At 37.8% G+C, this 20,649-nt stretch overlaps 1 protein-coding gene across 4 annotated transcripts in view; it reads right to left on the reverse strand.

Moving 5' to 3' along the window:
* FNIP1 (folliculin interacting protein 1) overlaps positions 1-20,649 on the reverse strand; it is a 155,304-nt gene that overhangs the window by 75,027 nt on the left and 59,628 nt on the right. For 3 of the 4 annotated variants that reach the window (NM_001008738.3, NM_133372.3, NM_001346113.2), the window contains exons 3-5: positions 14,164-14,298; positions 2,577-2,677; positions 2,246-2,320 (exon numbers count right to left, since the gene is read on the reverse strand). In NM_001008738.3, the coding sequence (NP_001008738.3) occupies positions 2,246-2,320; positions 2,577-2,677; positions 14,164-14,298 (311 nt within the window). The remainder of the gene's footprint in view (positions 1-2,245; positions 2,321-2,576; positions 2,678-14,163; positions 14,299-20,649) is intronic. The other variant, NM_001346114.2, reaches the window with a different exon arrangement.

Consider the following 20,649-nt stretch of genomic DNA (forward strand, 5'->3'; position numbering starts at 1 on the left):
TGCAAAAACAGTTTCTTCCTATTAGCATTACAAATTAACTAACATAATCATTTAAATCAGAGGTTGGTAAACTATAGCCTGGAGTGCCAGATCTAGTCTGCTGCCTCTTTTTGTAAATAAAGTTTTATTGGAACACAGCCATGCCCATTCATTTATATACTGTGTATGAATGCTTTGATGCTGCAACAGCAGAGCTGAGAAACTACAACCCATTGTCTGGCTCACAAAGCCAAAAAAATATATATATATTTTTTTTTATTATTATATTTTAAGTTTTAGGGTACATGTGCACAATGTGCAGGTTTGTTACATATGTATACATGTCCCATGTTGGTGTGCTGCACCCATTAACTTGTCATTTACATTAGGTATATCTCCTAATGCTATCCCTCCCCCCTCACCCCACCCCACGACAGGCCCCAGTGTGTGATGTCCCCCTTCCTGTGTCCATGTGTTCTCATTGTTCAACTCCCATCTATGAGTGAGAACATGTGGTGTTTGGTTTTTTGTCCTTGTGATAGTTTGCTGAGAATGACGGTTTCCAGCTTCATCCATGTCCCTACAAAGGACATGAACTCATCCTTTTTTATGGCTGCATAGTAGTCCATGGTGTATATGCGCCACATTTTCTTAATCCAGTCTATCACTGTTGGACATTTGGGTTGGTTCCAAGTCTTTGCGCCAAAAAATATTTACTATCTGGATCTTTAAAGTAGAAGTTGCTGAACCTGATTTAGATTACAAACAAGGTTTCCCCTCATATTTTAGACCTAAAAATATTTTCTAATTATCTGTTAGGGAGAGGTGGAAGCTAGGAGGAAGAAGAGGAGAATAAATCATTAGGCAAATATCCAAAAACTATCTTTACTGTAATATATTACAAATAACCTATATCACTTCTTTTAGTGTCTCTTTCAGGATAAGAAAAATAAAAGTACTTTATGCTTTTAGTGCAAAATATCCTTTCTAGAGATTTTAGGAATTATCAGAACTTAGAAAAGGTGAAAAAACTCTGGTGATTATGGCTAACATCAGTGATTCCAACATGGAATCTTTAATTTCTACTTTAGTAGATCTCTAATTTCTACTTTTAAAAATCAGTATTTTTGGCTTCAATATTTTTTAAGGCATCCATAATATTTTAAAGGATACCCCCCATGGCCGGGCATGGTGGCTCATGCCTGTAATCCCAGCACTTTGGGAGGCCGAGGCAGGCAGATCACTTGAGGTCAGGAGTTTGACACCAGCCTGGCCAACATAGTGAAACCCTGTCTCTACTAAAAATACAAAAAAAAAAAAAAGTCAGCCGGGCGTGGTGGCCTGCGCCTGTAGTCCCACCTACTCTGGAGGCTGAGTCAGGAGAATCGCTTGAACCCAGGACAGAGGTTGCAGTGAGCTGAGATCACGCCACTGCACTCCACCGTGGTGACACAGTGAGGCTCCATCTCGAAAAAAAAAAAAAAAGACTACCTCCCACTTTCCTTCCAAAGAGTTACAGGTATTAGAAACTTAGCTAATAAAACTCTTCCAAACAGGTCTTTTTAAGGCATTAACAATTAATGGGGGCTCTACAGAATTTCTGTAGTCTGGAGTAGCTTCCTTGCTGCCTTTGACCTTGGGTTACCCCCAGGGGCTCTGACTAGCCAATGAGTCTTGCTCTGATATGGCACCTGCAAAATCTCTCTCTGGGGTCTTCCACTGCCTAACTTTAGCCCCAGTAATTTACTAGGTTCTGGCACATGGCCCATGATCCTGACACCAGGCCTGCCTTTGTTTCAGCTTCACTATTCTAATCTTTGCATTAATAGCTTGTAATACCCTGGTGGCTATCATTATATAGTGTATATGTGCAATATCAGTATGGCTGACCTAGGTCAGTCCTGTCTTTAGGGTTAATTTCGTAGGGGATCTGAAAATTGAAGAGCACCAACCCTACAGATTGTGGTAACTCAGGTAACTCAGCGTGGTACCGCAAAACTGAAAAATCAGCATGTTGCCCTAAGACGGAAATCCATTCAACATTCTACTTCCAGATACTGCTTCTAGCAATTCACAGAAACAGAAACCACATCTCATGTTTCTCAACTAAACTCAATTAAGAGTGAAATCTGGCTTCCATGAACTTTTAAACTTAAGGAAAGACAGAAAATCTGAACTTGTGCTGCAGTCCTAAAAGCAGTTGGTTAGTTTTCATACTTTGCACATCTAAAGTGATACATTTCCCCCTGTATCCATAAGCACTTACGTATTGAGACTCCCACAAATACTGCTGCCAGTCCGAGCAGTAAACACTTTGCTGAGCATGAGCTGTGGAGGGGAACTATGAAGAAAAAGAGAAAGAGAGAGACCAAAACTAAAATATAATGACCTTTTGGATTTATTATAAATAAAAATGTGTAAGTCACAGAGGTTTCACAGCATAGCTGCAAGAGCCATGAAGTAGCATTAAAACCATAGAACATGTTAAATGGAGTATGACAAGCTCAATCTGAGTGAAGATCATATAAAATTCTCTCTAAAAAAACGAAAATATCTAAAAATGGGACTCGTTAAAAAAAAATCAGAAAACCTCTCACCGAATCTGATGAATTTTTAAGGTGGATCCTTTGTAGCTCATTGCTACTGAGCCAAACATCATCTCTCCAAGCATATTGGCATCAGAAGAGCACCGAGAACCCTAAACAATAACCACATATTAACAAACTGTGTTAATTAAAAGCTTATGACTATTTCATATGTTGATTTTTATTAAAAATTCTTGATATAGTTATTCTACATTAAGAGTTGTACTTCTACACTGTATACGCTGTTCTGCAACTCGATTTTCTTCCTTTTAAAATGTTTTCTTGATGTAACCATGTTGTTACACATAAATTTGACTAATTCCTTTTAAGAGCTGTACAATATTTTATTGTATGAAAATACTACAGTTTGTCAGACCAGTTCCCTTTACTCACGGGCATTTAAGTCACTTCCAGATTTTTGCTATTACCAATAATGCAAAAGCAGGCATTCTTAACCACATCTTATGCATATGCAATGTTTCTCCAGGATAGATAATAAGTGAAATTCAAAGAATATGCAGAATAATTTTTACTACTCCTGTTGTATATAAGAAGCATCCATAAATGGGGCAATTTATATCTATTTTGTATTTCTGTAAAGACATATCTGTGATCTACAGTTTCAATACTATGCCTATGAAAATCCTAATGGCATTTTTTACAAAAACAGAAAAACATATTAAAATTCACATGAAACCACAGAAGACCACAACCTTCTTCTTCAAGAAGCAGCAGCCAAATCAACCTTGAAAAAGAACAAAGCTGGTGGGCATTACACTTCCTGATTTCAAATTATACTACAAAGCTACAGTAGTGAAAACAGTAAGGTACTGACATTAAGACAGACATATAGACCAATGGAACAGAACAAACAGCCCAGAAATAAACCTACATGTATACAGTCAACTTATCTTCAAGAAGGGTGCTAAGAATACACAATGGGGACAGGATAGTCTCCTTAACAAATGCTTCTTGGAAAACTGGATATCCACATGCGAAAGAATAAAACTGGTGTCCTATATCATGCACAAAAATCAACTGAATATAGATTAAAGGCTTACATGTATGACCTGAAACTGTAAAACTCCCAGAAGAAAACAGGAGAAAAGCTTGATGACATTGGTCTTAGCAATAATTTCACAGATATGACACCCAAAGCACAGGTAACAACAGCAAAAACAGACAAGTGGGACTACATCAAACTAAAATGTTTCTGCACAGCAAAGAAAATAATCAAGAGGGCAAAAAGATAAAATATGGAATGGGAAAAGATAAAATATGGAATGGGAAAAAATACTTGCAAACCATGTATCTGATAAGGGATTTGGCTTCAAAATGTACCAGAAACCCCTACAACTCTATAGTAAAAACTAATAACGCAATTAAGGTCTTGAATAAACATTTCTCCAAAGAATTCATACAAATGACCAACTGATACAGGAGAAACGCTCAACATTTCTAATCAGAGAAATGTAAATCAAAACCACAAAACCTGTCAGGTTGGCTATAATCAAAAAAGCAAAGACAACAAGTGGTGAGGATGTGGGAAAACTGGAGCCCTTGCACATTGTTGTAGGAATGCAAAATGGTATTGTACTTATGGAAAACAACATGGCAAGTCCTCCAAAAATTAAAAATAGAACTACCATGTGATCTGGCAATTCCACTTCTGGGCATTTTTCCAAAATAATTAAAATCAGGATCTCAAAGAGATGTTAGCACTCCTATATTCATTACAGCACTATTCACAATAGCCAAGATGTGAAAATAACCCTAAATGTCCACTGACAGATGCATGGATAAATGAAATATAATAAATACATAGAATGAAACACTATTCAGTTTTCAAAAAGAAGAAAATTCTGCAACACGCAACACGGATGAATCTTAAGGACGTTAGGCTAAATGAAATAAGCCAGTCACAAAGAGATAAATACTGCATGATAAGATAAATACTCCACTTATATGAGGTATTTAAAATAGCCAAATTTACAGAATCAAAGAGTAGAATGGTAGTTACCAGGGGCTGGGGTGAGGGGGAAATGGGGAGTTACTAATCAATGGCATTAAATTTCAGTCAAGCAATTTGAATAAGCTCTAGAAATCTATAGTGTAACACTGTACATGTAGAAAACAATTCATTGTACACTTAAAAATTTAAGAGGGTAGATCTCATGTTCTTCCCACAATTTTTTTTTTAAAGACTTCCTTGAGGCTAGCGCGGTGGATCACGCTTGTAATACCAGCATTTTGGGAGGCTTAGGCGAGAGGATCACAAGGTCAGGAGTTCAAGACCAGCCTGGCCAACATGGTGAAACCCCATCTCTGCTAAAAATACAAAAAATTAGCTGGGCATGGTGGTGCATGCCTGTAATCCCAGCTACGCGGGAGGCTGAGGCAGGAGAATCGCTTGAGCCCAGGAGGCAGAGGTTGTAGTGAGTGGAGATCACGCCATTGCACTCCAGCCTGGGCGACAGAGCAAGACTTCCTTGAAACATTATAATGTCTTGTTTCCAAAGAACCTCCTGATTAAAAAGTTATTCTCTTTCATTATTCTTTGTCTTCACAGGAGTCAGACAATAGTTAAAGATTGAGCTTATCCATTTGGTTACTATTTAGATATCATGGCAAATATCACTTTTTACCTACCAAGTATCTATTCTCTAATTCTTCCTCATTTTTTGAAGTCCAGTTTGTTTTAGGGCAGTAATGTGCACAAATGAAAAAAATTTCATTTCACAGCCTCACTTGAAGATAGGAGATTTAGAATAATTTTTATACTTAAAAGATCAGTGTTATGGTTGAAGTAGCAATTTTCAGAACTATTCATTTACATGCATTTGACACAGGCCTGGTCAGTAAGATGTAAATGGAAGTCACTACAGATGGAGATGTCATATTATAACAACAATGCAACAAGTACACACTAACTCTAAGTAGAAAGATAAGGGAACCATGGTCTCTGAGGGTATCTGGAAGCCCAGTATCATACCTAGATAGTACACTTTTAGGGTTATCATGTATGTCAGCAACGCAACCCCTAATTTGTTTAAGCCACTGTTTAGAGAGTGTCCCAATACCATTCTTAACTGATGCAATTATATAAAATCAAAAAATAAATGGTTTCTAAAATATTTAGGAAAATTCTAATAACCATAAAGTGAAGAGAATCCCCATTTTACAACTGGAGACCAGGATATACAGCTGCACACTGTTTTTCGTTTTATCATGTGACTCTTTTACTCCTTTATCTCTTTACTACCTATCTTAAATTGTCCTATTATTAGGGTTAAGATAATCCACGTTTAAATATTTGTACTTTTCTTTAAAAAGACACCTTCAAGTAGCAACACATTTTTTAATACATGGCTATTTTTATATCAGTTTCACATTTTTTTGAGATGAAGTCTTGCTCTTGTCGCCCAGGCTGGAGTGCAATGGCACAATCTCGGCTCACTGCAACCTCCGCCTCCTGGGTTCAAGCAATTCTCCTGCCTCAGCATCCCGAGTAGCTGGCAATACAGGTGCGTACCACCATACCCAGCTAATTTTTGTATTTTTAGTAGAGACAGGGATTCACCATTTTGGCCAGGATGATAACAATCTCTTGACCTCGTGATCCACCTACCTTGGCCTCCCAAAGTGCTGGGATTACAGGTGTGAGCCAACTCGCCCAGCCCACAAAGTTAATTTTTAAGAAAAAAGTCATTTCTGTCATACCTAGGTTACTAATATACAAAGCAACTAATTTATTCTTGAGATTTGGTTAAGATCAAATTTTTATTTTAAGACATAGAGGCTTGGGTACTGAGAACAACATTTCAGAAAAGGAGCAGAAAATTTTTTTAATGATAAAATAGCTATTTAAAAAATCAATGCCAGTATTACTTGGCAACCTAAATTACTTCTGGCTAATGATAGACATGGCAGCCTTCCCTTATAAGCTCATTTTTACCATAATGTGTCTAACTCCATTGTTATTTTGACTGAATTTCTTATTTCTTGTATTAAGCAAGCTATACAAATTTAAATACCAAGGCATTTATTTATAGATTTTACTATTATACAAATAAAATAATCCCCAGAAAGCAAAATACAGTAAAAATATTAATAAATTGCTATGTGAATTTTATGACACCATATAGTTTACTACTAAGGTTCTCTTTGTCTGTTCTAACATATACTAAATAGTTACCATGAATGTGACTGGCAAGGTATGTATTTTAATGTGACATAATCTACAATGAAGCTTATAATTAAAAGGATGCTATTATCATTATTGTCTATTTTAAAATGCCTTATTTAAAAGGTCTATTCTAAGTACTCATTCCTGGAAGCTAATAATCTGTTAAACCCTGTGTAACTCAAAGACAATGTTCCACTTACCTGAAATTATATACATTTAAAAAAAATTATTATTATGCTTTTTAGTTCTGGGATACATGTGCAGAATGTGCAGGCTTGTTACATAGGTATAAAAGTGCCATGGTGGTTTGCTGCATCCATCAACCTGTCATCTACATTAGGTATTTTTCCTAATGCTATCCCTCCCCCTAGCCCCCCACCCCCCAATAGGTCCTGGTGTGTGATGTTTCCCTCCCTGTGACCATGTGTTTTCACTGTACAACTCCCACTTATGAGTGAGAACATGCAGTGCTGGTTTTCTGTTCTTGTGTTATTTTGCTGAGAATGATGGTTTCCAGCTTCATCCATGTCCCTGCAAAGGACACGAACTCATCCTTTTTTATGGCTGCACAGTATTCCATAGTGTATATGTGCCACATTTTCTTTATCCAGTCTATCATTGATGGACATTTGGGTTGGTTCCAAGTCTTTGCTATTGTGAATAGTGCTGCAATAAACATATGTATCCATGTGTCTTTATACTAGAATGATTTATAATCCTTTGGGTACATACCCAGTAATGGGATTGCTGGGTCAACTGGTATTTCTGGATCTAGATCCTGGAGGAATTGGCACACTGTCTTCCATAATGGTTGAACTAATTTACACTCCCACCAACAGTGTAAAAGTGTTCCTATTTCTCCACATCCTATCCAGCATCTTTTGTTTCCTGACTTTTTAATGACTGCCATTCTAACTGGCTTGAGATGCTTATCTCATCATGGTTTTGATTTGCATTTCTCTGGTGACCAGTGATAAAGAGCTTTTTTTTCATGTTTGTTGGCCGTGTAAATGTCTTCTTTTGAGAAGTGTCTGTTTGTATCCTTCACCTACTTTTTGATGGGGTTGTTTGTTTCTTGTAAATTTGTTTAGTTCCTTATAGATTCTGGATATTAGCCCTTTGTCAGATGGGCTAATTGCAAAAGTTTTCTCCCATTCTGCAGGTTGCCTGTTGACTCTGATGATAGTTTCTTTTGCTGTGCAGAAGCTCTTTAATTAGATCCCATTTGTCAATTTTGGCTTTTGTTGCCATTGCTTTTGCTGTTTTAGTCATAAAGTCTTTGCCTATGCCTATGTCCTGAATGGTATTGCATAGGTTTTCTTCTAGGGTTTTTATGGTTTTAGGTCTTACGTTTAAGTCTTTAATCCATCTTGAATTGATTTTTGTATAAGGTGTAAGGAAGGAATCCAGTTTCAGTTTTCTGCATATGGCTAGCCAGTTTTCCCAACATCATTTATTAAATAGGGAATCCTTTCCCCATTGCTTGTTTTTGTCAGGTTTGTCAAAGATCAGATGGTTGTTGATGTGTGGCATTATTTCTGAGGCCTCTGTTCTGTTCCACTGGTCTATGTATCTGTTTTGGTACCAGTACCATGCTGTTTTGCTTACTGTAGCCTTGTGGTATAGTTTGAAGTCAGGTAGCGTGATGCCTCCAGCTTTGTTCTTTTGGCTTAGGATTTTCTTGGCTATACAGGCTCTTTTTTGGTTCCATATGAAATTTAAAGTAGTTTTTTCTAATTCTGTGAAGAAAATCAATGGTAGATTGATGGGGATAGCATTGAATCTATAAATTACTATAGGCATGATAGCCATTTTCACGATACTGATTCTTCCTATCCATAAGCATGAAATGTTCTTCCATTTGTTTGTATCCTCTCTTTTTCCTTGAGCAGTGGTTTGTAGTTCTCCTTGAAGAGGTCCTTCACATACCTTGTAAGTTGGATTCCTAGGTACTTTATTTTCTTTGTAGCAATTGTGAATGGGAGTTCACTCACGATTTGGCTGTTTGTCTATTACTGGTGTATAGGAATGCTTGTGATTTTTGCACATTGATTTTGTATCTTGAGACTTTGCTGAAGTTGCTTAACAGCTTTAGGAGATTTTGGCCTGAGACAATGGGGTTTTCTAAATATACAATCATGTCATCTGCAAACAGCAACAATTTGACTTCCTCTCTTCCTATTTGAATACCCTTTATTTATTTCTCTTGCCTGATTGCCCTGGCCAGAACTTCCAATACTATGTTGAATAGGAGTGGTGAGAGAGGATATCCTTATCTTGTGCTGGTTTTCAAAGGGAATGCTTCCAGCGTTTGCCCATTCGGGATGATACTGGCTATGGGTTTGTCATAAATAGCTCTTATTATTTTGAGATATATTCCATCAATACCTAGTTTATTGAGAGTTTTTAGCATGATAGGGTGTTGAATTTTATCGAAGACCTTTTCTGCATCTGAGATAATCATGTGATTTTTGTCATTGGTTCTGTTCATGTGATGGATTACATTTATTGATTTGCATATGTTGAACCAGCCTTGCATCCCAGGGACAAAGGCGACTTGATCGTGGTGGATAGGCTTTTTGGTGTGCTGCTGGATTCAGTTTGCCAGTATTTTATTGAGGATTTTCCCATTGATGTTCATCAGGGATACTGGCCTGAAATTTTCTTTTTTTGTTGTGTCTCTGCTAGGTTTTGGTATCAGGATGATGTTGGCCTCATAAAATGAGTTAGGGAGGATTTCCTTTTTTTCTATTGATTGGAATAGTTTCAGAAGGAATGGCACCAGCTCCTCGTTGTACCTCTGGTAGAATTTGGCTGTGAATCAGTCTGGTCCTGGACTTTTTTTTGGTTGGCAGGCCATTAATTACTGCCTCAATTTCAGAACTTGCTATTGGTCTATTTAGGGATTTGACTTCTTCCTGGTTTAGTCTTGGGATGGTGTATGTGTCCAGGAATTTATCCATTTCTTCTAGATTTTCTAGTTTATTTGTGTACAAACTATGATAGTAGTTTGTATTTCTGTGGGATCAACACGTTTCTTATTGTGTTTATTTGATTCTTTTCTCTTTTCTTCTTCATTAATCTGGCTAGTGGTCTATTTTGTTAATCTTTTCAAAAAACCAGCTCCTGGATTCATTGATTTTTTGAAGGGTTTTTTGTGTCTCTATCTCCTTCAGTTCTGCTCTCATCTTAGTTACTTCTTGTCTTCTGCTAGCTTTTGAATTTGTTTGCTTTTGCTTCTCTGGTTCTTTTAATTATGATGTTAGGGTGTCAATTTTAGATCTTTCCCACTTTCTCCTGTGGGCATTTAGTGCTATAAATTTCCCTCTAAACACTGCTTTAGCTGTGTCTCAGAGATTCTGGTATGGTGTGTCTTTGTTCAAACTTATTTATTTCTGCCTTCAGTTTGTTATTTACCCAGTAGTCATTCCGGAGCAGGTTGTTCAGTTTCTAAGTAGTTGTGTAGTTTGAGTGAGTTTCTTAATCCTGAATTCTAATTTGATTGCACTTTGGTCTGAGAGACTGTTTGTTATGATTTCCATTCTTTTGCATTTGCTGAGGAGTGTTTTACTTCCAATTATGTGGTCAATTTTAGAATAAGTGTGATGTGTTGCTGAGAAGAATGTATATTCTGTTTATTTGGGGTGGAGAGTTCTGCAGATGTCTATTAGGTCTGCTTGGTCCAGAGCTGAGTTCAAGTCCTGAACATCCTTGTTAATTTTCTGTCTCGTTGATCAGTCTAATATTGACAGTGGGGTGTTAAAGTCTCCCACTATTATTGTGTGGGAGTCTCAGTTTCTTTGTAGGTCTTTAAGAACTTGCTTTATGAATCTGGGTGCTCTTGTACTGGGTGCATATATACTTACAATAGTTAGCTCTTCTTGTTACACTGATCCCTATTGTTGCATTGATTCCTTTACCATTATGTAATGCCCTTCTTTGTCTTTTTGTTTTTCTTTAATATCTTTGCTGGTTTAAAGTCTGTTTTATCAAAGACTAGGATTGCTACCCCTGCTTTTTTTTGCTTTCCATTTGCTTGGTAAATATTCCTCTATCCTTTTATTTTGAGCCTATGTGTATCTTTGCAGATGAGATGGGTCTCCTGAATACAGCACACTCATGGGTCTTGACTCGTTATCCAATTTGCCAGTCTGTGTCTCTTAACAGGGGCATTTAGCCCATTTATATTTAAGGTTAATATTGTTATGTGTGGATTTGATCCTGTCATTATGATGCTAGCTGGTTATTTTGCCTGTTTGTTCATGCTGTTTCTTCTTAGTGTCAACAGTGTTTACAATTTCATATGTTTTTGCAGTGGCTGTTACCGTTTTCCCTTGCCATATTTAGTGCTTCCTTCAGGAGCTCTTGTAAGGCAAGCCTGATGGTGACAAAGTCTCTCAGCATTTGCTTCTCTGGAAAGGATTTCATTTCTCCTTCGCTTATGAAGCTTAGTTTGGCTGGATATGAAATTCTGAGTTGAAAATTCTTTTCTTTAAGAACGTTGAATATTGGTCCCCCACTCTCTTCTGGCTTTAGAGTTTCTGCAGAGAGATCCACTGTTAGTCTGATGGACTTTCCTTTGTGTATAACCCAATGTTTCTCTCCGGCTGCCCTTAACATTTTTTCCTTCATTTCAACCTTGGTGAATCTGACGATTATGTGTCTTGGGGTTGCTCTTCTCGAGCAGTATCTTTGTTGTGTTCTCTGTATTTCCTGAATTTTAATGTTAGCCTGTCTTGCTATGTTGGGAAAGTTCTCGTGGATAATATCCTTAAGAGTGTTTTCCAACTTGGTTCCATTCTCCCTGTCACTTTTAGGTACACCAATCAAACACAGGTTTGGTATTTTCACATAGTCCCATATTTCTTGGAGGCTTTGTTTCTTCCTTTTCATTCTTTTTTCTCTAATTCTGTCTTCATGCTTTATGTCATTAAGTTGATCTTCAATCTCTGATATCCTTTCTTCCGCTTGATTGATTCAGCTATTGATGGCTTGCGTATGCTTCATGAAGTTCTCGTACTGTGTTTTTCAGCTCCATCAGGTCATTCATGTTCTTCTCTAAACTGTTTATTCCAGTTAGCAATTCATCTAACCTTTTTTCCAGGTTCTTAGCTTCCTTGCATTGGGTTAGAACATGCTCCTTTAGCTCACAGGAGTTTATTACCTTTATTATCTTCTGAAGCCTACTTCTGTCAACTTGTCAAACTCATCCTCCATCCAGTTTTGTTCCCTTGCTGGCAAGGTGTTGTGATCCTTTGGAGGAGGAGAGGCATTCTGGTGTTTGGAATTTTCAGCCTTTTATGCTCGTTTTTCCTCACTTCGTGTATTTATCTATCTTTGGTCTTTGATGCTGGTGACCTTTGGATGGGGTTTTCATGTGGATGTCCTTTTTGTTGATGTTGATGCTATTCCTTTCTGTTTGTTAGTTTTCCTTCTACCAGTCAGGCCCCTCCGCTGCAGGTCTGCTGGTGTTTGCTGGTGGTCCACTCCAGTCCCTGTTTGCCTGGGTATCACCACTGGAGGCTGCAGAACAGCAAAGATTCCTGTCTGTCCCTTCCTCTGGAAGCTTCATTCCAGAGGAGCCCCTGCCAGATGCCAGCCGGAGCTCTCCTGTATGTGATGTCTGTTGACCACCGCTGGGAGGTATCTCCCAGTGAGGAGTCATAGGGGTCAGGGACCCACTTGAGGAGGTAGTCTGTCCCTTACCAGAGCTTGAAAGCTGTGCTGAGAGATCCACTGTTCTCTTCAGAGTCAAAAGGCAGGAACATTTAAGTCTGCTGAGGCTGTGCCAACAGCCACCCCTTCCTCCAGGTGCTCTGTCCCAGGGAGATGGGAGTTTTATCTATAAGCCCCTGACTGGGGCTGCTGCCTTTCTTTCAGAGATGCCCTGCCCAGAGAGGAGGAATCTAGAGAGACAGTCTGGCTACAGTGGCTTAGCTGAGCTGCAGTGAGCTCCGCCCAGTTCTAACTTCCCAGCAGCTTTGTTTACACTCAGTTGGAAATGCAGAAATCACCCGCCTTCTGCGCTGATCTCACTGGGAGCTACAGACCGAAGCTGTTCCTATTTGGCCATCTTGCCAGCCACCCTATATACATATTTTTTTTGAGACAAGGTCTCACTCTGTCACCCAGGGTGGGTTGCTATGGCATGATCATAACTCACCACATCCTAGAACTTCTGGGCTCAAGCAATCCTCCCACCTCAGCCTCCTGAGTAGCTGGGACTACAGGCTCACACCACCACACACAGCTAATTTTTTTTTTCTTTTTTTGAGACAGAGGTTCGCTCTTGTTACCCAGGCTGTAGTGCAATGGCGCAATCTTGGGTCACCACAACATCCGCCTCCCAGGTTCAAGCAATTCTCCTGCCCCAGCCTCCTGAGTAGCTGGGATTACAGGCATGTGCCACCATGCCTAATTTTACATTTTTAGTAGAGATAGGGTTTCTCCATGTTGGTCAGGCTGGTCTCGAACTCCTGACCTCAGGTGATCCGCCCACCTCAGCCTCCCAAAATGCTGGGATTACAGGCATGAGCCACCATGCCCGGCCCACATGGCTAATTTTTTAAAAATCACAAAACTTTCAAAGTTGTGCAAAATGGTGTAAGTCATGATGGTGTTGTATAGCACAGGACTATTATGGATTTGTTAAGGTATCATGCCTAAAGGGGAGATGGAATAGAAGAAGGCAGGGGGAACTGTGCAGTAAATCCAAGTGGAGTTTAGTAATTTCAGACTCTTTTCACATAGCTTGTCCCATTGATTAGGTATAAAGATCAATTTCCATCAAAACACAATCATCTCATTACCAGTAATTAAAAAGTCAAGATTCTATTTTGATACTGAGTAAATATAAAATACTTGTGATTAATGCAAACTTGGATGACACAGATAAATTTACATCAGATGACACTTGCTAAGCATGAGACCAAATACTGATCTTATATAAAATGTAATACATTTAGAGAGAAGTTCCTATGTATTATACTTACTAATACGTTTAATTCCATATTTTACAAGAAGTCACATTACTTTTGAGAAATAAAACTGTGTATTATGTATACTTCCAATCATACTTTAATTTCATACAACTGAAACTGTATTAGTATATTTATCTTCATTTTTCAATAATAAAAAAGTATGTAAAATAAGAAATTATTCTGATAACCCAATAAATCTGAATTGGGAAATATAAGGAGAAAATACTCATGCAATCTATGCCTATAGCTTTCTACTTCTCCTATTCTAAGATTTATCAAAGTTCATAAACATAATTGTTTATCTGTCTCTCCAGCTTCAATGCAAGCTCTAGGAAGATAAGGACTAATTGCTATTATATCTCCACAGTCCACTGGATGATGTTCAAAACTAATTATAAATGAATGAATAAATAAATGACATCAATGATCTTACCTGGTACTTAAGACACTGGTCTTTTATATCAGAAGATGAAGTCACAGAACTATCTAAAGAGGAAGAACTGTCTCCTCCAGGTTTCAGTTGGCAGCATTTCCCAAAGACTTTAACTTGAGCATCACTGCCGAGTTTCTGAAATAACAGATATTTCCACTCATGTTTTAACAGATTTTTAACCATATACAAATTTCATCAAAGTATAAAAACCTTTGGAAAAACCAAGAATGAAATAACTCAAAATACAACATTAATATGGCTATTGGCATTTTGCTGTATTTTCTCCAGTACTATTTTCTATTCTTTGTCTCATAACTATAATAAAATTTGTGGGGTTTGTATTTCTGGCCAACATTATTATATCCTGAGAATTTTCTAGATTACCACGGCCTATACGATGTTCATTAATACCGATGTAATAATATATTGCAGTAGTTTTCAAATTATTTGGTCTCAAAACCCCTTTATGGGCAGGGCTTGGTGGCTCATACCTGTAATTCCAGCACTTTGGGAAGCTGAGGAGGTGGATCACTTGACACCAGGAGTTCAAGACCAGCCCGACCAACAGGGAGAAACCCTGTCTCTACTAAAAAGACAAAAATTAGCTGGGCATGGTGGCACATGCCTGTAATCCCAGCTTCTTGGGAGGATGAGGCACAAGAATCTTTTGAACCTGGGAAGTGAGCTGAGACTGCACCACTGCACTCCAGCCTGGGTGACAGAGTGAGACTCTGTTTCAAAAAAAAAAACAAAAAAAAACCCAAACAAACAAAACAACCCTTAATGTTCTTACAAGTTATCGAGGATCCCAAGAGTCTTTTGTGTACATGGGTTATATTTATCAATATTTTCCCATATTAGAAATCAAAACTGAGACCATGTAAAAAATACTTATTCATTCATTTAAATACAACAATAAACCCAAGTTAATGTAAGTAACACTGTTATAAAAAATAACCTATTTTTCTGGGGAGAAATGCAGGGATGAAAGGAGAAATGCAAATGAGACTTTCAGATTTAACTATACATATGTTTATTCTTTCGAAATGAGAATATACTAATGTAATAAATAAAATTTTAATGAGAGAATGAACTTAGGACCAGATGGTTGTGCAGTCTAGTGTAGAAGAAAAATGTATTTCTTTTTAATTCCTCTTTCTCTTTTTCCTCCCCAACAGCTTCTCTACATCTTTCACTGCTCACAACTACCAAAGTTACAATCCACCAACATCTGTGATATTCCTAAAAGTATTCCAGTGCTTTATCACAGTTACCAGTATGTCCATTCTTTCATTTAACAAACCTCAGGTAGGTTTTTAGAACAAATAATCTGACTAAAGTCACATTTACTGAAGACTGAATGTTTTCTAGTTACCAACATCACCAAAGGCATTGTTAAAAATTACATGTACTAGTCTCCAGTTATCTCTAACCAAAAATTTAAAGTAAAAAGAATAAAAGCTTTAGAACTAGATATGAGTTCAACATGAGGTCCTTGCCCATGCCTATGTCCTGAATGGTATTGCCTAGGTTTTCTTCTAGGGTTTTTATGGTTTTAGGTCTAACATTTAAGTCTTTAATCCATCTTGAATTAATTTTTGTATAAGGTGTAAGGAAGGGATCCAGTTTCAGCTTTCTACATATGGCTAGCCAGTTTTCCCAGCACCATTTGTTAAACAGGGAATCCTTTCCCCATTGCTTGTTTTTGTCAGGTTTGTCAAAGATCAGATAGTTGTTGATGTGTGGTATTATTTCTGAGGGCTCTTTACTGTTCCATTGGTCTGTATCTCTGTTTGGTACCAGCACCATGCTGTTTTGGTTACTGTAGCCTTATAGTATAGTTTGAAGTCAGGTAGCATGATGCCTCCAGCTTTGTTCTTTTGGCTTAGGATTGACTTGGCAATGTGGGCTCTTTTTTGGTTCCATATGAACTTGAAAGTAGTTTTTTCCAATTCTGTGAAGAAAGTCATTGATAGCTTGATGGGGATGGCACTGAATCTATAAATTACCTTGGGCAGTATGGCTATTTTCACGATATTGATTCTTTCTATCCATGAGCATGGAATGTTCTTCCATTTGTTTGTGTCCTCTTTTATTTCGTTGAGCAGTGGTTTGTAGTTCTCCTTGAAGAGGTCCTTCACATCCCTTGTAAGTTGGATTCCTAGGTATTTTATTCTCTTTGAAGCAATTGTGAATGGGAGTTCACTCATGATTTGGCTCTCTGTTTGTCTGTTATTGGTGTATAAGAATGCTTGTGATTTTTGCACATTGATTTTGTATCCTGAGACTTTGCTGAAGTTCCTTATCAGCTTAAGGAGATTTTGGGCTGAGACGAGGGGTGTTCTAGATACACAATCATGTCATCTGCAAACAGGGACAATTTAACTTCCTCTTTTCCTAAATGAATACCCTTTATTTCTTTCTCCTGCCTGATTGCCCTGGCCACAACTTCCAACACTATGTTGAATAGGAGTGGTGAGAGAGGGCATCCTTGTTTTGTGCCAGTTTTCAAAGGGAATGCTTCCAGTTTTTGTCCATTCAGTATGATTTTGGCTGTGGGTCTGTCATATATAGCTCTTATTATTTTGAGATATGTCCCATCGATACCTAATTTATTGAGAGTTTTTAGCATGAAGGGCTGTTGAATTTTGTCAAAGGCCTTTTCTGCATCTATTGAGATAATCACGTGGTTTTTGTCTTTGGTTCTGTTTATATGCTGGATTACATTTATTGATTTGCGTATGTTAAACCAGCCTTGCATCCCAGGGATGAAGCCCACTTGATCATGGTGGATAAGCTTTTTGATGTGCTGCTGGATTTGGTTTGCCAGTATTTTATTGAGGATTTCTGCATCAATATTCATCAGGGATATTGGTCTACAATTCTCTTTTTTTGTTGTGTCTCTGCCAGGCTTTGGTATCAGGATGATGCTGGCCTCATAAAATGAGTTAGGGAGGATTCCCTCTTTTTCTATTGATTGGAATAGTTTCAGAAGGAATGGTACCAGCTCCTCCTTCTACCTCTGGTAGAATTCGGCTGTGAATCTGTCTGGTCCTGGACTTTTTTTGATTGGTAAGCTATTAATTATTACCTCAATTTCAGAGCCTGTTACTGGTCTATTCAGAGACTCAACTTCTTCCTGGTTTAGTCTTGGGAGGATGTATGTGTTGAGGAATTTATCCATTTCTTCTAGATTTTCTAGTTTATTTGCGTAGAGGTGTTTATAGTATGCTCTGATGGTAGTTTGTATTTCTGCGGGATCGGTGGTGATATCCCCTTTATCATTTTTTATTGCGTCTATTTGATTCTTCTCTCTTTTCTTATTAGTCGTGCTAGCGGTTTATCAATTTTGTTGATCTTTTCAAAAAACCAGCTCCTGGATTCATGGATTTTTTGAAGGGTTTTTTGTGTCTCTATCTCCTTCAGTTCTGCTCTGATCTTAGTTATTTCTTGCCTTCTGCTAGCTTTTTCAATTTGTTTGCTCTTGCTTCTCTAGTTCTTTTAATCATGTCTACATCACCAAAAGCAATGGCAACAAAAGCCAAAATTGACAAATGGGATCTAATTAAACTAAAGAGATTTGGCACAGCAAAAGAAACTACCATCAGAGTGAACAGGCAACCTACAGAATGGGAGAAAATTTTTGCAACCTACTCATCTGACAAAGGGCTAATATCCAGAATCTACAAAGAACTCAAACAAATTTACAAGAAAAAAAACAAACAACCCCATCAAAAAGTAGGCGAAGGATATGAACAGACACCTCTCAAAAGAAGACATTTATGCAGCCAACAGACACATGAAAAAATGCTCATCATCACTGGCCATCAGAGAGATGCAAATCAAAACCACAATGAGATATCTCACACCAGTTAGAATGGCGATCATTAAAAAGTCAGGAAACAACAAGGGCTGGAGAGGATGTGGAGAAATAGGAATGCTTTTACACTGTTGGTGGGACTGTAAACTAGTTCAACCATTGTGGAAGACAGTGTGGCGATTTCTCAGGGATCTACAACTAGAAATACCATTTGACCTAGCAATCCCATTACTGGGTATATACCCAAAGGAATATAAATCATGCTGCTATAAAGACACATGCACACGTATGTTTATTGCAGCACTACTCACAATAGCAAAGACTTGGAACCAACCCAAATGTCCAACAATGATAGACTGGATTAAGAAAATGTGGCACATATACACCATGGAATACTATGCAGCCATAAAAAAGGATGAGTTCATGTCCTTTGTAGGGACACGGATGAAGCTGGAAACCATCATTCTCAGCAAACTATCGCAAGGACAAAAAACCAAACACTGCATGTTCTCACTCATAGGTAGGAATTGAACAATGAGAACACTTGGACACACGAAGGGGAACATCACACACCAGGGCCTGCTGTGGGGTCGGGGGAGCGGGGAGGAACAGCATTAGGAGATATACCTCATGTAAATGACGAGTTAATGGGTGCAGCACACCAACATGGGACATGTATAGATATGTAACAAACCTGCACATTGTGCACATGTACCCTAGAACTTAAAGTATTTTATATATATACACACATACGTATATATGTATATATACGTATAAAATATGTATATATACGTATATACATATATACGTATTTATATACATGTATATACATATACACATATTTATATATGTATACATATACACGTATTTATATATGTATACATATACACATATTTATATATGTATACGTATATACGTATATATGCACATATATATGTATATATACGTATAAAATATGTATATTAGAAGAACTAGATGTGAGTTCAAAACCTGTATCCTTGAGCAAGTTAACTGACCTCTCTAAACCTTAATTTGTTATTTGTTTAAGGGGAAGAAAAACCCTACCTAACAACACTTAAGGGAATGTGTGTGTGTGTGTGTGTGTGTATTTTATATACACACATGTATAATACATATTATATATAATAGTTATAATATCCTAGCTATCTCCACAGAGCTGGGACTACAGGCGTATGCCACCACATCCAGCTAATTTTACTTTTTGTAGAGATGAGGTCTCATTATGTTGCCTAGGCTGGTGTCAAACTCCTGGGCTAAAGTAATCCTCCCACCTTGGCCTCCCAAAGTAATCCCTGGCTGGGATTACAGGTGTGAGCCACTGCATTCAACCTCGTTATAATTGTTATTAGAAAACAGTTAACATGAGGGGCTAACATAATTGAAGTCAGGCACTTCACTAGGTATTTCCATGTATGTTTCAACTCTTGATAAAAATACGGGTATTTTTACTATTGGCATCCTTCGCCACATCTTAATAACCTTATTACTTATTGATCACCAACAAAATGCCAGGCCTTAATGTACATTTTCTCTAATACTAAGCATGGTAGGTATTATCGATGCTATTTTACAGATGAGAAACGTGAAGCTCAAACAGGTTAAATAACTTCACCAAGGTTACAAGAGCTAGTAAATCTGTTATCTACTTATAGACAAAACCCAGTTGGCTTGACTTATCCACTATCACGAACCACCATTTCATCAGTCAACAAAAGTATTTAAGTACTACGCGTTCTAAGCCAGAGGGTGGCTGCAGACCAGTACCAGTCCATGGCCTGTTAGGAACCAGGCCACATGGCAAGAGGTGAGCAGTGGGCAAGTGAGCATTACCGCCTGCACTCCACCTCCTGTCACATCAGCCTCAGCATTAGATCCTCATAGGAGTTCGAATCCTATTGTGAACTGTGCATGGGAGAGATCTATCTCTAAAGAGATACAACAAATAAATGCAATGCAAGATTCTCAACTGGATCCTTTTGTTCTGTAGGATGTTATTTTGACAACTTGCCAAGTTTTAATGGGATCTGAGGATTATTTGGCTATAATATATCAATGATTTCCTGAATTTTTGCTGTATTGTGGTTACGTAGAAGAATGTTCATATTTTTAGGAAATACACATTGACGTATTCAAAGCTGATGGGATATCAAGTAGGCAGTTTACTCTTATTCGGTTCAGAAAAGCAAAAGTTCTTTGTATTGAACTTGCAACTTATTTGTGATTGTTTCAAAAAGTTAATAAAAATTATAACCTAGTTATAGAAAGCCAGTTGTATTTTTCAGTAATATTTATAACTTTTTTTGCATAATTCGAAGGTATTTGTTTTTGTGGGCTAGACATAAAGTACAGCATCACTTCTCTGAGATAACAAAGTAAAATAATAAGAAATTGAACCCTTTTTCCTACAATTCCTGCTTATAGAAGTCCTGTGCTTACATGAGGGATTGTTGTTGACTGCACCTTGTCCCCTCATTACAGGACCATCTGCCACTGTAGTTGCTGCTGTTTGCTTTCAGAAAAGTCACGACTTCAAGATGGGAGGGAGTAGAGAAACAACAGCTGAGGAGCTGATGGGAGAATAGTATGTGTGTGTATGTGCATCCTTTTGTACACACTTTTAGGTGTGTTTTTATGCTTTAGTCCTG

This window comes from Homo sapiens, chromosome 5 (genome assembly GCF_000001405.40).
Source record: "Homo sapiens chromosome 5, GRCh38.p14 Primary Assembly".
NCBI classification, from domain to species: Eukaryota; Metazoa; Chordata; class Mammalia; order Primates; family Hominidae; genus Homo; species Homo sapiens.